General features: G+C 35.8%; 1 protein-coding gene and 1 pseudogene across 3 annotated transcripts in view; one reads left to right on the top strand and one right to left on the bottom strand.

Moving 5' to 3' along the window:
• SENP6 (SUMO specific peptidase 6) overlaps positions 1 to 23,571 on the bottom strand; it is a 116,402-nt gene that overhangs the window by 41,843 nt on the left and 50,988 nt on the right. For all 3 annotated transcript variants that reach the window (NM_015571.4, NM_001100409.3, NM_001304792.2), the window contains 6 exons: positions 17,032 to 17,177; positions 12,921 to 13,218; positions 9,498 to 9,727; positions 5,719 to 5,886; positions 971 to 1,004; positions 385 to 579 (listed from right to left, as the gene is read on the bottom strand). In NM_015571.4, coding sequence (NP_056386.2) covers positions 385 to 579; positions 971 to 1,004; positions 5,719 to 5,886; positions 9,498 to 9,727; positions 12,921 to 13,218; positions 17,032 to 17,177 — 1,071 coding nt within the window. The remainder of the gene's footprint in view (positions 1 to 384; positions 580 to 970; positions 1,005 to 5,718; positions 5,887 to 9,497; positions 9,728 to 12,920; positions 13,219 to 17,031; positions 17,178 to 23,571) is intronic.
• Positions 21,142 to 21,378, top strand: RN7SKP163 (RN7SK pseudogene 163; annotated as a pseudogene).

Here is a 23,571-nt window from a genome sequence, read left to right as displayed (position 1 = left end):
CTTAACAACTTCCTATTCAGGCCAAGTTTCAAGATTTCCAGATTTATATGGCTGATTTACATTTAATATTCCTATCAGTTAAAAAATTTTATTTTACTCAGATTACAGTGTTAGTTAAGAGTGCAGATCTTTTGGGTTTTAATCCACTTAGAAACTTTGTAAATGAGTAAGTCTGGGTTTTATCTTCAGCCCTTCCACTTTCTGTGAGTTTTTCCTCATCTGTAAAATGGAGAAAGTAATATCTATTTCACAAGGTGGCTGTGACAATTGTAGATAATATACACCTAAGGCATCTGTCAAAGTGCACTCACATTTTGCTATTTAACAGATATTGTAAATACAGTATCTATTATTATCTATTATAATCTGTTTTACACAACTTACTTGTTAATTTATTTACTCCTTTACAATCATTCCAAACTTTATCCTCCTTATTCATTTGCAGTTGGATGCTCAGCTTTTGATAAACTGCTGGAATTGCTTGAAGAAACACTACAGGTAATTTTCGGACATTACACCATTCACATTTAGTTAGATCAGAGGTATTTAATATAATCTCTACAGGATCATGGTCTGGTTCTGGAGGAAAACAAATGAAATGGAAAAATAATTCTTAAGAGGGTAATATCATGAATGGGGGAAATTGTGAGGAAATACAAGTTTAAGTAAATGTAAGCACATATTTATTATGCTCTATAAATCATTACTCTTGTGGGTAATAAAAAAAATCTTTATAACTGCCTTAAAGAAACTTTTTTATTTTTTCCAAATGAAAAGGGGTTTCTAAAAAGTTAGGTTCTGTGATATTTCTGAATGAAATTACACCAAGATATATGCCCTTTGATAAGAAGATATATGTAACAACTAACCATCTTAATAAATTCTATGAATATTATTTAATCTTTTATTCCTGTAAAGTGCTTTGGTGTAAAGAAAGCTTTGGTAAGTAAAAAGACATAAAATAGCTTACCGTCTAGCTGTATCTTGATAAAATCTAAACAAAACTAAAAAAAAAGATGAATTAGTATTGCTCTAGACTTACAAAGAAAGGCAGGCTTCACTTTTTTATTCAAATACTTAGAATGTTTCTTATATTACTCGTTTATCTCTTAAAATCCCACAGAGAAGTTGGTATAACATTATAATGAACACCTAAACATTGCTTATCTAAACCCACTAACTGTTAAACTGTTAACATTCTTGTCACATCCCTTCCATCAGTCTTTCTTTCCTCTTTTTTTTTTCTTTTTTTAACTTTTATTTTAGGTTCAGGGGTACATGTGCAGGTTTGTTATACAGGTAAATTGCATGTCATGGGGGTCTGACTTTCACTCAATGGTTTCCCATCACTGAAGGTCCTTGCCTGAATTACTTATTACTGGTGGTTACAACATGGTATTTTCTAACTAATTATTTCAATGTGGAAAAGACACATTAAGCCTATTATAGCCTGAATTAATTATTTTACAGAAGAGACATTCAAAAAAGGAGGCAAGTATTTTGAAATGTATTAAAAAACAAGATAAATGAATATATACAGGGATGAATAGATATATGGAAAGCAAATACAATAAAATGCTAATAGTAAAATTTAGCGGGGAGTTATATAAATGTTCACTGCAAAAGTCTTTCAACTTTTCAGTGTGAAGATTTTTATAATATAAAAAGAGAAAGCAAATATAAAATAAATTTAGCAATTACTACAATAATTAATTGCAAAGTCTAGAATGTCACTAAACATACTTTCTAAAGATTGCATCTGAAAGGAATGTGTTAACTGGTTTCTCTGGGAAATAACAAATTATTTGGGGACATTAAGCATGGGTACTGGCAGGGAACGGTGGCTTTTAACTGTTATCCCAGCATTTTGGGAGGATGGCTTGAGCCCAAGAGTTTAAGACCAGCATGGCCAACATGGTGAAACCCCATCTCTACTAAAAGTATAAAAAATTAGCCAGGCGTGGTAATGCATGCCTGTAATCCCAGCTACTCAGGAGGCTGAGGCAGGAGAATCGCTTGAACCCAGGAGGCAGAAGTTGCAATGAGCCAAGATTGTGCCACTGCACTCCAGCCTGGGCAAAAATAGTGAGACATCATCTCAAAAAAAGAAAAACTTACCTAGGTATAGATGGCATGTACCTATAGTCCCAACTACTCTGGGGCCTGAGGTGGAAGGATTGCTTGTGCCTAGGAGTTCAAGGTTACAGTTAGCTATGACTGCAGCACTGAACTCCAGCCTGAGCAACGAAGAGAGACCTTATCGTTTTTAAAAAAAAAAAAAAAAAAAAAAAAGGAGTAGCTTGCGAAACATTCTAGCATACGTGGATGTTGACATTATATGTTTTGGAAAAATGTTAGCTGATGCAAAAAGTGTCAATAATGATGACATAAAGCATTCACTCATTCATTTATTTATTTGAGAATGAGTCTCACTCTGTCACCCGAGCTGGAAGGCAGTGGCACAATCTTGGCTCACTGCAACCTCCACCTCCCGGGTTCAAGTGATTCTTCTGCCTCAGCCTCCCTAGTAGCTGGGGTTACGGGTGCACGCCACCACACCCCACTAATTTTTGTAGTCTTAGTAGAGATGGGGTTTTACCATGTTGACCAGGCTGGTCTGAAATTCCTGACTTCAAGTGATCCACCTGCCTCAGCCTCCCAAAGTGCTGGGATTACAGCCACCACACCTGGCTGACATAAAGCATTTAAATAAAATTGTTGCATAAGATAAAGGAATTGAAGGAAGTGATATCTAAGTATTTGTCATTTAGAAATATCTAAGTAAGTCACACATTAATATTATAAGTAGACACTGGGCTGGGCACAGTGGCTCACACCTGTAATCCCAGCACTTTGGGAGGCCAAGGCAGGTGGATCACCTGAGGTCAGGAGTTTGAGACCAGCCTGGCCAAGATGATGTAACACCATCTCTACTAAAAATACAAAAATTAGCCAGGCATGGTGGCAGGCACCTGTAATCTCAGCTACTCAAGAGGCTGAGGTAGGAGAATTGCCGGAACCCGTGAGGTGGAGGCTGCAGTGAGCCAAGATTGCGCCACTGCACTCCAGCCTGGGCTGACAACAGTGAGACTCGGTCTCAAAAAAAAAAAAAAAAAAAAGTAGACATTGGTCTATTTCATCTACATTGTGAAAGTTTCTAAATTTAAACTGAATGAAAACCTTGGTTTTATATCTTCTCATTTGAAAAATGAATTTGTGCATATGTGGTATTCCTAATAATATATGCCATTTTACTTCTTTAAAAAAGCACTTGCTTTTAAATAAAATGGACGCTTCTAAATAATGCCAATTGGCCGGGTGCAGTGGCTCACACTTATAATCCCAGCACTTTGGGAGGCCGAGATGGGCGGATCACAAGGTCAAGAGATCGAGACCATCCTGGCTAACACAGTGAAACCCCGTCTCTACTAAAAATACAAAAAATTAGCTGGACGTGGTGGCCGGTGCCTGTAGTCCCAGCTACTCGGGAGGCTGAGGCAGGAGAATGGCATGAACCCAGGAGGCGGAGCTTGCAGTGAGCCGAGATTGCGCCACTGCACTCCAGCCTGGGCAACAGAGTGAGACTCTGTCTCAAAACAAAAAATAAATAAATACATAAAAATAATAATGCCAATTATATCACTGAGCAAATTAAAATGATTAAATTATCTAATAATAAGCAAGTGTAGAATTTTATAAAACATTAAACATAGTAAAACATTTAAAACCTGTTTCTCAGATTAATCATAACTTGGCAGATAAATCATTTCACTACAAAATATAAGGAAGTTATGTTCAAGAAGAAAATATCAAATCATCTTTTTATTTACGCCATCTGAAGAAGATACAGATCCACTAATTATTCTTCAATGAAGAATGCCCTTTGCTAAAAATCTCATGCTACAAGTAAGGTTAATACCACACTGCAAATTTCTACATTATATTTTTTGGCTGGAATATTTCATTTAGCATTATAATTTTTTAAACTGACACATTTTATGTTACATATACTGCCTTTTATTTTTTTAACTAAATTTACAAAGTTTTTCTTCACTGTAGCAAATATAACCTATTAGAAAAAATTCATCCAAATTTTAATGTAGTTCTTCATAAACAGCTTTAAGACTAAATATGCAACTTTCTAATTAAATGTCTAAATCACCAGCAAAACCTTACTCATCACACTGAAGAGTTATAAATAACAGCATTAATGTGGGAGAAAGCCGTAAAAGTTACAGGGCACTCCTGAACATTTTTGAGGTGCTAAGTGACACACAGTGACATTTTTGTTAATTGACAGAAACCAGGAAAGACAGTCTGCAGTATGAGGGCTGTAACAAAACACAAATTTCATAAATCCCTAAAAACACTGACATATGTTACAATATTATTGGGCAATAAAGGGTAGACAATTTATATATAATTTGCTTCGAATCTCCAGGGTACTTCTGAAACTTTAGTTTTTAAATTGTGAGAAGCTTAGGGTTTTTGATGGAAAAGAAAAATTTGCCGGATTCTCATAGAGCTGTGCTCTGCTAAGAAATCAGGTTCACATTTCATTTTCTCCTATAAACAATTTTTTTTCTTTTGATCATATTGTATCCTAGAACCATGAACCTTTACCAGAAAAGAAACAGTTATTATTCATTACATTAAATAATAAAATACCTTACAACTTTCCTGCTGTGATATAATTCTTTCTTTTTTTCTGTTTTTTGAGACAGAGTCTTGATCTGTCATCCAGACTGGAGTGCAGTGGCGCCGTCTCGGCTCACTGCAACCTCTGCCTCCCAGGTTCAAGCAATTCTCCTGCCTCAGCCTCCCGAGCAGCTGGGACTACAGGCACATGCCACTGCCCCCGGCTAATTTTTCTATTTTTAGTAGAGATGGGGTTTTAGCATATTAGCCAGGCTGGTCTCAAACTCCTGACCTCGTGATCCAGCCGCCTTGGCCTCCCAAAGTGCTGGGATTACAGGCGTGAGACACCGCGCCCGGCAATAAGTTCTCTTAAAGACAAGTGCTTTATGTAAAAAGGACAATATCAGTTTGAAAGAAGAGATGGAAACAAATAGGGACATCAAGTTAAGGCATTATAAAACAAAGGCTTACAGAACACATACAGTGCTTTACAATTAATCTAGCAACAATGTTTAGAATACATTAGAGAAAAAAATAATGACTAAGAAGGCTAGTTAAGGAGATTATATTAAAATTTCAAATAGAAAATAAAAACTTGGATTGGTGGCAGAATAGTAAGTACACAGGTATGATGGGTAAGATAAAGTACACAAAGTCCTTTGGGCAGCCATTATAGTACAATAATCTATTTCTAGGAGTCTTGATGCTATAATACATTTTCCAGCAAACCCCAAAACTTCTGGAATCTTCATTCACTCACTACAGTTCTTTAATATATTCTTTTCATGCACTTAGCTGGGATGATACTAAAACTAACATATTGGAAGGTTTTCTAACTCATTGAAAGTTTCATGCACGAAGCTGGCATGATAATAAACAATAACATATTGGAAGGTTTTCTAACTCATTTTAATGGCAAGGAGCTACTATTTATATACTCTTAAAGCAATGTGAAATCTTGAACTAACTGATATTCTATTAAATATTTTAACTTATAAATTTTAAATATTATATATTAGCTTTAGCAACGGAATTTTTAATGTTATAATTGGTATAGTAAAGAGCTTAAGATGTACTTACAATTACAGGCTCTATTAACAGCCGGAAGAGTGTTCCTACTCGTATACTTCGACAGTTTAAAATGACACTGTCAAAGGAACTTTGGCAGCTTAAAGCTAAAGCATCTGGAGGTTCTTGAGAAAACACTTTACGACGTTTCAGAGGTGTGTTGATAATAGAATTGCCAAACTAAAAAGGAAAAGAAAATGTTCACTTAATAATTTACTAAAATAAGGCTGCAAGCTAAGTATAAACATATGCAAAGACCCAATATAAGAAATGTAAATATCACAACATAAAATGGATTTCCCTTCAACAGTGTTAGATAAAATTAAAATTCATGGTTTTTATATAACAGTAAATCCTTGTATCTTATTTAGCTATACTTTGGTTGTTATTTAAATTTGAGTAATAGTATGGCATTCAGGAATAGTACTCTGGGAATCAGACTGCCTGGATTCAAACAGCCACACCACCTTTTAAAGATGTGATCTTGGCCGGGAGCAGTGGCTCACACCTGTACTCCCAGCACTTTGGGAGGCCGAGATGGGCGGATCATCTGAGGTCAGGAGTTCGAGACTAGCCTGCCCAACACAGTGAAACCTCGTCTCTACTAAAAGTACAAAAAATTAGCTGGGTGTGGTGGCAGGTGCCTGTAATCCCGGCTACTCAGGAGGCTACTCAGGAGGCTGAGGCAGGAGAACTGCTTAAACCTGGGAGGTGGACGTTGCAGTGAGCTGAGAACGCACCACCGCACTCCAGCCTGGGCAACAAGATCGAAATTCCTTCTTAAAAAAAAAAAATCTGATCTTGTAAAACTTAATAACTTACGTAAGTTTTGGTTCCCTAAACTCTAAAATATGCAGAGTAAGAGTACCCACTCAACTGAGTTAATGCATAAAAAGCAGTTTAGCAGATTGCTTCATGCACAGTAAAATGCTGCTAGTTATAGTGGCAGTGATACTTGAATTAAATCAGTAATTCTTTAGAAAGCAAGCAATTTAGGAGAATTGTTATTTGCATTACAAAATAACCCTTCCTTATATATTTACATATTTTAAACTATTTTCATCTGTTAAATTATGATTCCAGTCACTTCCAAATAGAAATTTATCATAAACACTTCATATAGGTATGTAATTTTAATTACAAGTAATTATATTAGTATCTTTATTATCATCACAAGAATAAAACAATATCTTGACAGAAAATAAGGGAAAAGAATGTCCACCATTCCCATTATCCTTCTAAAGGTATTTCTACCATCTATGTCACAGGAAAAAAAAAATGTATTTTAAACAAAATATGATCATATGATTTTGTAAACTGCTTTTTCAGGCTTATTAACAGATTTATCATTAATATTTTCCATTATTATTATTTTTTGAGATGGAGTCTCGCTCTGTCGCACAGGCTGGAGTGCAGTGGCATGATCTCAGCTCACCGCAACCTCCACCTCCCTAGGGGGTTCAAGCAATTCTCCTGCGTCAGCCTCCCAAGTAGCTGGGATTATAGGCACACACCACCACGCCTGGCTAATTTTTTTGTATTTTTAGTAGAGACAGAGTTTCACCATGTTGGCCAGACTGGTCTCGAACTCCTGACCTCAGGCAATCTGCCCACCTCAGTCTCCGAAAGTGCTGGGATTACAGGTGTGAGCCACCGCATCCGGCCTATTTTCCCTTATTATTAAAGAAACCTGTTAGAGAGGTTTAAAAGTGTTTTGTTTTGTTTTTAGCTGTAGAGTTATATCTTCAAATGAGAGGTTATTTAGCTCACTAATAAAACAGGAAAGAGCTGCTCCAGCTGAATCTACAATAAAGGATTTAGTCTAGAATATGAATGGTCCACACCCTCCATGGAGCATCATCAAAGACAGTACACACTGAGGTACCCTTATGATTCAGTGTGCCAGTCTGAAAACCGCTCATCTGAAAATTCCATTACATGGAAATTCATCATTAATTTAACTGAACTCATATGCTGGACATCTAAGTTCTTTCCAATCTCTTGCGATAGCAAACTATTCTTCAAAGAGCATTTTTGCAGTCCAGCCAGTTGTGGTACACATTTAGAATTACTGCCAAACTGCCCTCAACAGTTACACCAACTTATACATTCAACATTCCACTTCTCCAAACACTGATCAAGATTGAGACAATATCATAGTTTTAAATTTTTCAGCAATCTGAAGTTCACAAAAGGTATTTTAATTTCATTTTCACTACTTGGATTACTATTTTTTTTGAATTCTATTCATTTCCTTTCCTTATTTCCCTATGGTTTGCCTCTATTTCTTTATTTTTTAAAAATTAAAAATATATAAAGGACCACTTTACACTTTGTCACATAGCTTACTATTTTTCCATTTGCATCTACCTATCAAATTGTGTTTAGAGTGTTTTGCTACACTGTTCTACTTTTCATTTAATCAAATATATTCATCTTTTCATTTACTACTTTTGCTCGTGCTACCATGTGGGAAAGGCATTCTGTAAGATTATATAAAAATATTAATCCAGCCGGGTGCAGCGGCTTGCACCTGTAATGCCAGCCTGGGTGACAGAGCAAGATCCCCCCTTTAAATAAGTAAGTAAATAAGTAAATCCATATATTTTTCTATTATCCTTATGATTGCTTTTGTTGTTTTTCATTTTTTAAGGTTCCCATCTTAATAACCAAGTATATATGTTCCCATATTTGTATCTGTACTCCTATGAACACTGACATGTATAAACACATACATATAGAATTTAACATACAAGTTTATTATTTTATAAAAACATTCATACTAAAGTAATATACACATATTTCCTTATTTTGGTACTCTCACATAACAGTACCATGCAGAACTCCTAAAAGTCACTGATATAAGTTCTAATTTTTATTTTCAATGGCTGCATCATATGGATATACCTTAACTTTTTCAGCCATATCCATATTAACAGGCAACGATTTTGTTTGCCAATAATCATGTTTGCATATAAAGCCTTACGTACTGGGGAAGATGGAGTCTAAGGAATTAATTATTTGGTCAAATAGTACACATTAAAAATTTTTTAATGGTCATTTTTACATTTCTTTCCCAAAAGATCATAGTAACTTTCTTTTCCATCAGCAAATTGGGAAAGTGTCCTTTCCCTTGGATTCTTGACAACAGCACATATTAATTGATTTTTTAACAATTTTTAAAGTCCATTGAATACAGTTATATTTCATTTTCCTTAATTTGCACTTTTCATGTGGTAGTTTACTACATGAATTTTCTTTTTGTCCATTCTTATCCTTTGTTCATTTTGTTTTTATCCTGTAATTTTTAAGAGTTCTCAGTCTATTACAGACATTAAAATACTATGTCATCTGCATTACAAATAGTTGTCCTAGATACACTGTCTATTGACATCGTTCATATTACCTTTTTCCATGTGAACTTTTTGAAATTTTTATAGTAAAATATAAAACATAATGAAACATAGTATTACAGTAAAATATATCTCTGTCAAAATGACTTCTCTCCTCTGCTAGATTTTATAAGAAATTTTTGTACATACTGACATTTTATTTTAAGGTTGATACTGTGTTTTCTTGTTGAATTTTTTATACTTCAAGCCTTAAGTTTAATTGAAACTTATTTTTGTATATGGCTTAATGTTCTTCCAAATAATCTCCCATGTGGTATTTAAGCCCCACTTAATAATCCATCATTTTTTCTTGGCACTACCAAACTGCCTTCTAAAAAAAATTTACACCCCAAAATGGAGGCATTAATCTGAACAAATGTCAACAAAAGTGAAAAGTACCTGGTCTTTCATTCTTGCTTTTCTTGGCAATGTAACTGTATTTAACTCTGAGTCTTCTGGAATGCTTCGTAGTTCACGCTCTGCTCTGCAAGTATTTTCATTTAGCGCTGCTTCTACTTTTCCAGTGGATGGTGCAGGGGAAGAACATGCTGAATCAGCAGGCTGAGGAGATATGCTTTCTCTTCTGTTAGTTCTGTCGTTGTCATCATCATCATCACTGGACAAAATGACTAAAAGTATTTTAATAATTTATAATTTATATTAAAACTATAGTTATAATTTTATATTTCATTTCTGTCCATTAAAAATGCAAATAAATTACCAAAGTGGAAAATATCCTAAATTTGCTTTGGACCTCCTCCAGATCTAAAATTAATAAAAATGAATGAAGATACAATCCACTCTATCTGATAAAAAGTTAAATCTGAAGAAAGCATTAAGACTTGGTATCTTTTAAAAAATATGATACAAATATAAAATTTGATTTTACAGTCCATCACCACTCACCCAAACAGCAATATCAGCAAGTTACAAGAAGAACAGTAGGTCTATTTCAGAGTCCCAAAAAATTTAAGGTGTAAAAAATAATTTGCATACAACTTGTTCACAAAATAGAATGCATTGTAAATATGTGTGAAACTCCATGTAGTCAAGTATATATATATAATATATATTTTATATATATCGTATATATATTTTATATATCATATTTTATATATATCATACTTATATATATCATATATACGTTTTATATATATCATATATACGTTTTATATATATATCATATATGTTTTATATATATCATATATACGTTTTATATATATCATATATACATTTTATATATATCATATATACGTTTTATATATATCATATATACGTTTTATATATCATATATATATAAAATATATATATATTTTGAGATGGAATCTCATTCTGTCACCCAGGCTGGAGTACAGTGCGCGATCTTGTCTCACTGCAACTCCGCCTCCTGGGTTCAAGTGATTCTCCTGCCTCAGCCTCCCCAGCACCTGGGATTACATGTGTGCACCACTACACCCAGCTAATTTTTGTATTTTTAGTAGAGATGGGGTTTCTCCATGTTGGCCAGGCTGGTCTCGAACTCCCGACCTCAGGTGATCCGCCTGCCTCAGCCTCCCAAAATGTTGGGATTACAGGCGTGAGCCACCGCACCTGGCTGTAGCCAAGTAATTTTATCTCACACAGGAAGCTACTAAAATCTTAACTGGTCCTTGGAAAAATCTGGACCAGTGCCTTATGTTCAATAAGTCTTGTTGAGTAAATGGACGTGAGCAAGAAAAGACACTATGATGGTAATTTGCTCTTATACCTTGTACTCATTACTGAATCGTAGCAAATCTATCTCTATATCTTAATTCCACAAAGCCACTCACATTGTATTTGAGTCAAATACAAACTCCTTGCTATGGTTTGTAAATTTACATAATCTGGCCCCTGCCTATTTATCCAATTTTCTCATAATATTCTGTTTTTGTCTCTTTATCCTCCAGGCACACTAGCCAGTATTTCTGTCCCTGAAACACCACAAGCTTGCTCCTGCCTGAATTCTACTTCCCTCAATATTATGCATTTTGGCCACCAAGTATTAGTTTAAATATCACTTTTTTTTTTTTTTTTGAGACGGAGTCTCACTCTGTCACCCAGGCTGGAGCGCAGTGGCGCGATCTTGGCTCACTGCAAGCTCCACCTCCTGGGTTGATGCCATTCTCCTGCCTCAGCCTCCCGAGTAGCTGGGACTACAGGCACCCACCACCATGCCCGGCTAATTTTTTATATTTTTAGTAGAGACGGGGTTTCACCGTGTTAACCAGGATGGTCTTGATCTCCTGACCTCGTGATCCGCCCGCCTCAGCCTCCCAAAGTGCTGGGATTACAGGCATGACCCAATGCGCCCAGCCTAAATATCACTTTGATAACCCAATAAAGTAAGCACACACACAGTCAAATTAACTGATTTAAATTTTCTGTTGTTCCTTGTTGCGGATGTTCACTTGTTTATCTGTTTCTCCCTGCTACACATAAACTATAAGAGAACAGGGACAGTGTCTTATTCACTGCTATATCCCCAGGCCTGAAACAGCCTGACACAGAAAAAGCATTCAAAAGTCATGCGTTGACTTTATTAGTATTTCAAACATAAATGCTTAATTTTTACTGAGTAATGTACATGTCCCAGAGAAGTATCATCTCAGTATTTCTCTACCTGTCTTTTTAATTTTACTGTCCAGTCTCAGGAACAAATATTGAGCATGGTTTCTCTTTCAACACTGGTCTTTTATTAGCAGAAAACCTAACAGGCCAGATTAGACGATCTAAACAGATTTACATATATAGCATTTGAGAGGTGGGGTTTTGCCACTTACTGGTTATTTGGCTCAATTTCTCTTCTCTGTAGAATTAGGGACAATAAGGGTATCTATTTCACAGAATCGTTGCAAGAACAAATGGTATGTAAAATGCTTAGCACAGTACCTGACATATATAGATGTATATATATATACATACAGACGTATGTGTGTACATGTATATAGATTTTTTAAAAAGGCCCATGAACTATATTTTTAATGAAAAACTACACAAGTATATATTAAAAGGAAAGCCTAGTGTTCTGTTTATAATTATTATTATTGTTTTTTTTTTTTAGCAACAGGGTCCTACTATATTGCCCTGGCTACACTTCAACTCCTGGACTCAAGCAATTCTCTCATCTCAGTCTCCTGAGTAGTTGGGACACCACTGTGCCCAATTTCTATTTTTTAGAAGAAATTATGTTCATTCTCCACAGTATACACTCTTATCTGTAGCTTGCATTATTCACTTAATTAAGGATCTTGGAAATTACACAGTTTATCAGATCTTTCACTCCTTTAGAGTATACACGCTGTATACTCTAGTCAACCAGTCCCCAATAATTTCTAATCTTTTGCTATTTATTATAAACAAGGACTGCATGCCATACACATACACATAAGAGTAAAAAGACAGGATATAGAGTTAGGAACAAATGTGGTAAGGATATTGTATGTCAAATATTTTATTGGGCTATGCATACTTTATGTTATTTTAGGCACCCCCCCCCCCACAAAAAAAAAAACCCACTATCAGCAGGAAATCTACCCATTTACAGATCAGAAAGATTAAATTAACCTGGCCGAAGTCAGAATGCTGGTTATAACTAGCACTTCATCTAAGACTAGGGTCAAGTTCTGTGGTTCTTTTTTTTGTTTTTTTTAACTATTTAAGATGGACAGGATGAGAACAAGATTAGTTTTAAGCTCACATTTATATTAAAAATATATATGGGGTTGGGGAGAGTGGTTGTAAAAATATATCTGAAAAATACTGGATTGATATAAGCAATATTAAAGGGAGTAAAATACTTACTTGGATCATTTAGGTCTGACAAACTTGTTTTCCTTTCTTTCAAGTTTGTGATTTTGGGTATTTTTGCCCCAGGTAAAATGACTTTTCCATTAGTCTGTAAATAAGTGTGTTTACTGTCATCACAATTCACAATAATATCAATTGGAACCTTTTCCACATTGTTGCCATAAAACTTCTTGGTTGTTAATCCTGTGTTTTGTGACTTCTGTCCTCCAGAATTCTGATGAATTGACGTTCTTAATAATGGTCCAGTAGACTCATTCAAAGTAATAGCTTGTCTGCAATTTCTTTGCAAATCCTTAGAAAAAAGAACACCACAACTTTGGCATTTGGTCTGATTTTCTTTTTCCTTTCCACATTTTGAACATTCACGGTGTTCATAAACTTTAAGTTCCAAAAGAACAAAAGAAATAAAAGATTTTGGCATTTTACTGCATCATTAAGGAATCCCCTCAAAGTCTCAAAATTAAGTCCCTCTCTTCCCCATCATTACCATCATGGCTACCATGAGAGCCTAAATAAGTAATGTTAGTCGGGATTTAATATCAAAATGCTGGAAGAAATTTTCAAGACTATCTAGTCTAGCAGTCAGCTATATATAAAATAATTCTGTCTCCAAGAATCTGAGGATATGATCAAGCTGAGTACTGACTGGCTCCATTACTTTAGTATCTATAATAAAGGTAAAGAGGGCAAATCTAAATGAAAAGAATTCCATGGAAAAGTGCTGTTTCCTCTCATAAAATTGATACTAAAACAGAAAAAACACATTCCTACTATTAAAATCCCCAATATTAAAATATGAACAGAAGTATGTTCTGAGCTATTACCATATGCCTTCCATCAGCTAAGAAACATTTATCTTGGAACTCTGTGAGAATTACGAACAAAATGCAGATACACTATGCTGAATAAGATAAAAAAAATTTTCATGATAAAAACTAGAGATTAACATTTTATTAACCTAACTCTCTAAAAACTAGAATCTCAATACTGCTCTGTTTTAGTAGAGAATACTGTAAATAAATTTTCATAAAAATTTTATGTTAAGTGTAGTTTCTTTTGGAAAACAAAAACTGACTAAACCTGGACATGGTGGCTCAGGTCTGTAAGCCCAACACATTGGGAGGCTGACGCAGTAGGACTCTTTAGGGCCAAGAGTTCAAGACCAGCCTGGGCAACATAGCGACATCCAATCTCTCCAAACAAAAAAAATTGAAGAGAAAAAAAAAACTGATTAAAATCTCATTCCCTGCTTTGGTCAGTAGAAGTGGAAGGCGTTTTACAAAATTAAATAATTCCAAATTACATATCACATACTATCTGCAAGACTCTACCCATAAATAACCAACTGCACTTAATAAGTCTGTCTTTGAGACTATGTCATTTTTACTAAATATCCTAAAGATGTTAATCCCATTAAATTCACAGATCTTGTTTTATTTATTTATTTATTTATTTATTTTGAGAAGGAGATTCACTCTTGTTGCCCAGGCTGGAGTGCAATGGCGCAATCTTGGCTCACTGCAACCTCTGCCTCCAGGGTTCAACAGATTCTCCCGCCTCGGCCTCCCAAGTAGCTGGGACTACAGGTGCCCACCACCATGCTCAGCTAATTTTTGTTTTTTTAGTAGAGACGGGATTTCACCATATTGGCCAGACTGGTTTCAAACTCCTGACCTCAGGTGATCCACCACCTGCCTCGGCCTGCCAAAGTGCTGGGATTACAGGCATGAGCCACTGTGCCCGGCCCACAGATCTTGTTTTCTTACAAGTGGTACATAGTGTAGAATTTCAGAGACTATACATGGAAAGAAAAAACCACTAACCTTGTCTAGGAATTAAAGTTTACATAGAGGCTGGCTACAATTCTTTATCTCCACTAAGAAGAAAGTAAGAACAATTGGCATAGGAATAGAGTAAAAGAAGGAAGACTTCTATTAAAAAACAATTATTGCTGTGTTTAATACCTAGGTGATGTGATGATCTGTGCAGCAACCACCACGGCACACGTTTACCTATGTAACAAACCTGCACATCCTGTACATGTACCCCTGAACTTTAAAAACAAACAAACAGAGGTTTTCAGTGGGCATGTCCAGTGGACAAAAGATGTTGTATTTAGGGAGGAGCTTTCCTCCTCCTTTACCTAGGCTAAGCAGTAGGTGATATCAGCATGGCCTGAGCCAAACTTAGGTTGGCATGGCAGGACATTATCACATAAAGAAAAACTAAGCTAACAGGTAAATACACCAGGGGTGATGGGAGTCAAGTTACTTACCTCTGGAGAAGGGAGTTACAAACATGCAACGTGGGAAAAATTAAATAAACTCAGTGTTGGACTGGAATTAGAGTTATCAGTGTGAACTTATGGATTCTAATATAGATTAAATATTAATACACACACATGTATTTCTTAGCTTTGTCCACTGAGAAGGCCGAGAAACAATAATACCCATGTGAATGAACATAACTAGTGCCCAAATATGTTCCCTCCACTTAAAGGAGAAGATATTTCCTTCTCCTTGTATGCATGGCTCCTCAGAGAAATGAATGACTCTAGGGCTGAGACAGAAATACAAAATAATGGCCAGGCGCGGTGGCTCACGCCTGTAATCCCAGCACTTTGGAAGGCTGAGGTGGGTGGACCACGTGAGGTCAGGAGTTCAAGACCAGCCTGGCCAACATGGTGAAACGCCATCTCTACTAAAATACAAAAATAAGCCGGGTATGGTGGCAGATGCCTGTAGTCCCAGATACTCAGGAGGCTGAGACAGAAGAACTGCTTGAACCGGGAGGTGGAGGCTACAGTGAGCCGAGATCGCTCCACTCAACTCCAGCCTGGGTGACAGAGCAAGACTCCATCTCGGGGAAAAAAAAAAAGAAATACAAGATAAGTTAAGACCATCTTGTTATACTAAAAAGCAGAGAAGTGAATGTCATGAATGTCTTCAAAGAATGATAGGGACATGTCAGAAAAAACAGAGGCCAGCTTGAAGGGACTCACATGGAATCTGGGACAATTGAAGCATCAAGGTAAGTCATGAAACATCATGAAAGTTACAGACTATAACCCTTTTAAGTAAAGTATTCATATGTACATGCTGATATAAATGAATATATAAATATGGAATAAGAAATACTTCTAGCTCATGTTAGAAATCTTATTAATGAATTAGTCAAATACCTATTAACTGACATTGCAGTGAAGAAATCTAGAACATCTTAACTAAGGTAAAATATCATTAATGTGAAAATCAACATCGTATGTCTCCTGATGTAATGCAGTAAGATTACAGCATCATTTCTGAAGCATTCTTGAAAACTACACACATCATTTACAAACATCAGACAAACCCAATTTGAGGCACAAAGTAAGTGTCCTATACTCCTCAACAAATGCCAAGATTATGAAAAAGATAAGACTGTGAAATTATTTCTATTGAAAGAGACTAAAGATTCGCAGCAATTCAATGCAGCACATGACCCTGAATTCAATTCTATAAGCATAAAGGACATTATTTAGCTGAAATTTGAATGGGACTTGTGGATTAAATGGTAATTTTAGATCAATGTTAACTTTGAGATTTTGACAGATGTATTCTGATTATAAAAAACCAAAAACACACATACTTAAATATTAAATGGTAAATGGGCATCATGCTTGCAACTTCAACTCAAATAGTACAAAAAAATACATATACACACGTTTATGGGTAGGCAGGAGGAAGGAGGGAAAAAGGCATAGAGAGTGAGGACAATAAAGCAAATGTGAACAACAAGGAATCTGGGAGATAAATATATAGATTTTCTTCTACTATTTTTTGTAACTTTTTGGCTTCTTAAAATTATTTGAAAAAAATTCTGGCAGAGAGCAATCATTTGAAGTATGTTGCAGGGAAGCACTGATAAATTCTTTACAGAAAAATAAATTCTATATTTTGAACAAGCATAAAAATGGTCTACTGAAGGCAGAAAAAGCTGCCTAAATAAGTTTTCCAAGTCTCTTCTGGTCCTATGATAAAAGATCACCTAGAATTTAATAAGTACTGAAACTAATATTAATCAAAACACAATCTGATTAGCAACAAAGAATAATTTCTCTACTTACCTCTAAATGGGTTAAACATTTTTTTGAAGCAGGAGATAGAGGAGGAGTAGGCTGATAGGTACTACAGTGTCGTTTCTGTTGTACTTTCCTCTTAATTTCAGGCTCCACTTGTGATTCGGACTCTTCTGTTTTCTTCATTATACGTTCTAAAGGAAGGAGAAAAAAATAAACTTTAAGTTTTAGTTAAAATAAGCTAGTGTTTCAGCAAAAAAATAATCAGAACATAAGACTAAACCAATAATTATATCCTGGATTACTCTTCTCTTATTTATTTTTCACTCCTCAGCAGGATCTCCACATATGGACCACTTCATCAAGTGTATCAATATCCTCTTCACTTTATTTTGTTCTACTAAGGTAACAGAAGCCCTTCCTGTGCCTAACCACTCACATACTCACAATTCCCCTTTTTTTTTTTTTTTTTTTTTTTTTTGGGGAGACAAGGTCTCATTCTGTCACCTAGGCCGGAGTTCAGTGGCATGCTCATAGCTCACTCTAATCTCAAACACCTTAGCTCAAGTGATCTTCTCACCTCAGCCTCCAAACTAGCTGTGACTACAGGTACGTGCCACCACACTCAGCTAATTTTTTTATTATTTGTAGAGACAGGGTCTCCCTATGTTGCCCAGGCTGGTTTCCTTCTTTTTTTCCAAGTCACTTACTCTAAGAGTAGTAATGAGAAAAATCTGAATTCAAACAGTACAATTGTTTGGGTAAACGAAACTAAACTAAGCCTGCCACAAGCTAATTTTCTAACTTTGGAACACGCAAGAGAATTTTTCTCGATATTTTTTATGTAAATTTAATAATTTTCATTACAAATATAATTATAATGTTTAAATGATTTGATGAACTCCAAAACAGGCCAATTTAAAATTTACCATAATCTGACTTTATCAGCAAAGGATTAAGTATCCAAGAGGCCAAACATGTTTCTAAAACATAAGTGAAGAATCTGTAAACCAAAATAACCTGCACAAACACAGCTTTGTTAAATACTTCTAGTTTCCTATATTTAATATTCTTTTATCATTTGGTTTTTAAAAATAAGATTATGTAGACATAAAAATCAATATTATATAATATTTAATTTGATATACAACACCATCTTAAGAAACCTATAATTATTCTTGCTTAGTGCAATCACAAAGTTTCACTAAGTGATCATCACCCTCTCATTGTTTGCACGTCTATTTTCCTAGACACCAAAGCTAGAAATTTAAATAATCGATGACTACTCCTTGTCCCTTCATCTTTACTTCTAAATAGCTCTTAAGTTCACTCTGTCTTCTCCAAACCCACTGCCACTACATTTCTGACGCTTAACTCTTGCCTAAACTGATGTCCTCTATCCCAATTTTGCTCCCCTTAAATCCTTCCCCACTACTGAAAAAGTGATCTAGTTAAAAATCATGACTTTGTCATTCTAATACTCTAATTAAATTCCATCTTTTGGCAAGCAGAAGTTCCTGTTTCAATCTTACTTCCACTTAAACTTTACCTCAAAAAGGTTCATTTCTTCATGTGTTCTCTCTTTTACCCTCACATATGCTGTTCTTTTCACAAGTGAAGCTCTGCCTATGTGGTGAATTCAAACTCTTCTTTGTTAAGAAGCTGCCTCTGCCCCACTCTAGGCACAATTAATCCCTAGAGTTTTCACAGCTCTCATTTTATTGTTATTTGTACTTCTGTTCCCCCATTGTATTGCCAGCTCTGGGAAGAGCAGAAATTACGTTTTAGTCATGTGTTTTCCCAGCATCTAGAAACTACACAAGGGCTTAATAAATGTTTCCTGGATTAATGAATTACATGAGAAACATAAAACTATATGACACATAAAAAAATGAAATTACAGGGGTCGGAGGAAGAGACATTGTCACTATGTCATCTCTGAAAATGGCATTACCTTTGTGACACAGAGATAATGATTCATACACAGATATAGAACAATTAAGGACTTAGCCTCTGGCCAGAGAGTAACTAAAAAGTGCTTTTTTTCTCCCGAGATCTAAAATCTGAGGTTACAGAGCAGCTGCTCCAGTCCAGAGCATCCAGGTATTATTTTTATGAAGGCTAAGTTACTTTGTTGAAGAGCTATGATGTGACACTATAAAAAGAAGGCAGACATTTTGGAATTCGGAAAATAAACACAGTTGTCTGAAACACACAACCAATTATTTGAAAAACTTAATTTACAGTAAAGCAGTCTTAAAACATAAGCCCCTACAAGCTTTTTTGGCCTTACTAAATTTGATAATGTACCCAAAGGAAAGCTTTTTCCTTATAAACATACTTCATTAATCTTTTTAAGCCACACAGTATCTTTGCACATTATTTTGCTCAAACATGTATCTAATTAGTTTTCTGCTGCATCCTGGAGACTGACATTTAAAAAAACAATATCATTTCATCCTGATTATGTAATCACACTCTTCTCTTCACCATACCTATAACATCATGTCTATGTCACATTTTCTCTACCATCATAACAAAGAGGGAAACAAATGTCCAAAGCTTTGATATAATTCAAAATTTTAATTGATAATAGGTAGAGAAAAATGACATTAAAATTCTGATCCCTACCTAAATCAAGGTTATTTATAAGGCTCTGAAAGAAAGAGAAAAAGGAAGGAATGACATAATTAAGAAAGTTAAGCTGAGACTTTTGAAACCAATGTCATGAGGAGAAATGGTAAATGATTGATAGTGTTATAGGAAACTAGATCTATAGAGAGTTAAGAAAAAAACACAAAAATGTTAGCCTCAGGGTTAAGAAATTCCATTAGGATTCCATTTTCTAGGGAAAGAAGAGAAAAACACTTGAGAAGATTTGGTAACTCAAGTAAAAATGAACTAGTCTAAAATTACAGCAGAAACATAAAATGGCAAAAAGCTTAAGATTGGACTGGTTCAAGGATGGCAAATACTTAGTAAGTGGCCTGTGGAAGTTTTACTAGCTAACTGATCACAGAAGTGATTTTTGCTAGGCTGATGTAGCCTCAAATCCTCAACAGATTACTCCAGAGAAGTACTTAAGACAAAAACCATGTGACATTATGCTGAATCCCTCTTACAGGGATGAGAAAGAGAATAAAGAGTATTTACCAAAGACCCTGCGGTAGGAACATGAAGATTAGGATACTCCCTACTAGATTTTGTAGCTCAATGTGTATTCTTTTTTTTTTTTTTTTTTTGAGACGGAGTCTTGCTCTGTCGCCCAGGCTGGAGTGCAGTGGCGCAATCTCGGCTCACTCAACCTCTGCCTCCCAGGTTCAAGCAATTCTCCTGCCTCTGCCTCCTGAGTAGCTGGGATTACAGGCATGCGTCACCATGCCTGGCTAGTTTTTGTATTTTTAGTAGAGACAGGGTTTCGCCACGTTGGCCAGGCTGGTCTCGAACTCCTGGCTTCAGGTGATCCACCCACCTCGGCCTAAGTGCTGGGATTACAGGCATGAACCACCACGCCCAGCCTAGCTCAATGTCTTTTTAAATACACTACACTATTTCCAGGTATGCACAAAAGGGGAGACTATGGAAGATATTACTGGGTAAGAGTGATCTATATACAGGTTCGATATAAATAGAAGACATTTAAAAAATCAAGTTAAAAAAAGATCCTTCATAAAAAGAATGTTCATAGCAGCTTTATTCTTAATAGACAAAAACTGGAAACAACCCAGGTGTTGTTTATCGATTATTTATATTATCGATTATCAGGAAAATCGATAAATAACTTGTTATACTCATACAATGCAATGTTAAAAAGAAACAAACTATTGATGCAAGCACCAGGATGGATGAGTCTCAAAATAAGATCCTGAATGAAAGAAGCCTCACATAAGAGTATATAGTGCATTACTCCATTTACATGAAGTCCTAGAACAGGTAAAATTAATCTATGCTAGGAAAAATCAGAACAATGGTTACATTTGAGGGGGAAGAGGTAGGGACTAACTGTGAAAGAACATGAGGGAACTTTCCTAAGGTGCTGATACCATTTCTACTATGTCTTCATGGGGATTTTGGTTAGAAAGGGATATGTAGTTTTCAAATTTTATATACTTAAGATTTATGTATTTCATTGTAGTAAATTTTATTTCAAAAGAAAGAATGTGAGGGTGATCTGGCTGCGACATCTGTCACCCCATTGATCGCCAGGGGTAACTGGGCTGATCTGGCTGGCTAGGTGGGTGTCCACTTCCTCCCTCATCGCTCCATGCGCATCCCTTCCAAAGCTGCACACTGGGTGAAAGAGGACGACCATCCCCAATAGAGGAGGACCGATCTTGGTTCAAGGGTATACAAGTAGCTGTGCTCCCCTGCTAGAACCTCCAAACAAGCCCTCAAAAGAAAATAAACTGTAAACAAATATTGAACTCTAGTTAATAATATGCCCACTGAAGTGTTTAGAAGTATACCAGGCGTCTACAATCGACTTTAAAATGCATCAAAAAATAAGATGAATTAACGTAGTAAGGGATGACTAGATGGACATGTCATAAAACAAGAACAGAAAAGTGTTAATTATATCTATCTACCACATAGATATACACATGTTCACTGTAGAAGTCTCAACTTTTCTGCATAAACATTTTCATAATAGAAGTTGTGGGAGAAGCAGGGTAAGGAAGAGGCTTAACTTTCTTATTTGAGATTTTAGTTGTGATACTACTAATACGCTGAAAAATAAGTACCCAGACGACAGTGATAGAATACAAACTGTTATCTTTATAATGATTATGTATTTGCTTTTACATTATTTTTTATAATTTTTCAAAAGAGAAAGACAAACTAGAAAAATGGTTTTCTCCATCATGTAGCTGCTACTGATTTTCAGTGTAAAATAAAACTAAAGTCATGTATCTATCACATTCTCATTATCTTCTTTAAAAATCACTTCTGGCTAAATACTATACTTTTGGCATACAGGATTTTGTAAAAACTCTTTAGCATGACAATCTACCTCTACCTACTTCTATGGCTTCAACTCTGGCTATCCTCTACCCATTCTCCAATCAAATACATTATTTGTTCAAATAAGATGAGACTCTTTCACCTGTTGTGCCTTTGCATTCCATCCTCATTAGGTGCAAAGCTTTTCCTCCTCGACTTGGTATGTCAAATTCCAGTGATTCAAAACTCAGCTTTACTTATGTTTTGCTTTGTTTTTGAGATAGGGTCTCACTCTGTAGCCCAGGCTGGAGTGCAGAGGCGTGATCACAGTGCCTCAACCTGTGCTCACTGCAGCCTTCACCTGACGGGCTCAAATGATCCCCTCACCTCTGCCTCTTGAGTAGCTGGGACTACAGGTGCTCATAACCACACCTGGCTAATTTTTTTTTATTTTATAGAGACAGGGTCTCACTATGCTGGCCAGTCTGGTCTTGAATGCCTGGGCTCAAGTGATCCTCCCACCCTGGCCTCCCAAAGTGCTGGGATTACAGGTGTGAGCCACCATGCTTGGCCTCATCTTTGTGTGTGAAGATTTAATTAAAACTCCAGAAAAGGGCAGTGACCACTCCTTTATGATACCACATTTTAAATTGGCTTTTACATACTACTTTCTGACTCTACAACAGTATGTTTACAAGTTTGTAGTCTATCTAGCCGTGGAGTTTCCCAAGAACAGACACTGTCATTTTATAGGGGCACAAGGCCAGCTTGAATTAATAATCATACCTAACTTTAAGATATCAGTGGAAAACTTACAAATATATTTGCAAAATAAACTAGTTAAAAAAAAAAAACACAACATTCCAAAAACATGAGAAAAAATGTTGAAATTGATTCCTAGAGCAATTTATTAAATACTTCAGTAGGCATTCCTGACATTCACCCAAACGCATTGAGGGAAAACAAGGTTAATTAATAAAATAATGCTGTTAAATAAAAATGATGTACATGTAAAAACATGTAAATAAATAAAAATAAATCTACAAGGACTTTTGGAAAATAAAGGTGAATATTTTTAAAATCCCAGGGTTGGAAAAGCTTTACTAAATACAATACTAAGGAAACCCAACTTTAACAACAGATTCAACTACAATGTACTATTTGACAACATTAGAAAAAAGTAAGGCCAGGCACAGTGGCTCATGCCTGTAATCCCGCCACTTTGGGAGGCCGAGGCGGGGGGATCACCTCAGGTTGGGAGTTCGAGACCAGACTGACCAACATGGAGAAACCCTGCCTCCTCTAAAAAATACAAAATTAGCCAGGCAGACTGGCCCAGGCCTGTAATCCCAGCTATTCGGGAGGGTGAGGCAGGAAAATCGCTTGAACCCGGGAGGTGGAGGTTGCGGTGAGCTGAGATTGCGCCATTGCACACCAGCTTGGGCAACAAGAGCGAAACTCCGTCAAAAAAGAAAAAAAAGAAAAGAAAAAAGTAACAGAAAAACCACAAAATGGAAAGATATATACATCAAAGATAACAAAGAGTTGCTAAATAAGTAAGAAACAGGCAAAGGACACATAAATAAATGGGCAGACATAAATAAAATAAATTCAAATGGCCATTAATCATGTAAGTAAGATATCTCA

This window comes from Homo sapiens, chromosome 6 (genome assembly GCF_000001405.40).
Source record: "Homo sapiens chromosome 6, GRCh38.p14 Primary Assembly".
Taxonomy (NCBI): Eukaryota; Metazoa; Chordata; class Mammalia; order Primates; family Hominidae; genus Homo; species Homo sapiens.
Note: the sequence above shows the minus strand (reverse complement) of the source record. Positions and strands in the feature narration are given on the sequence as shown.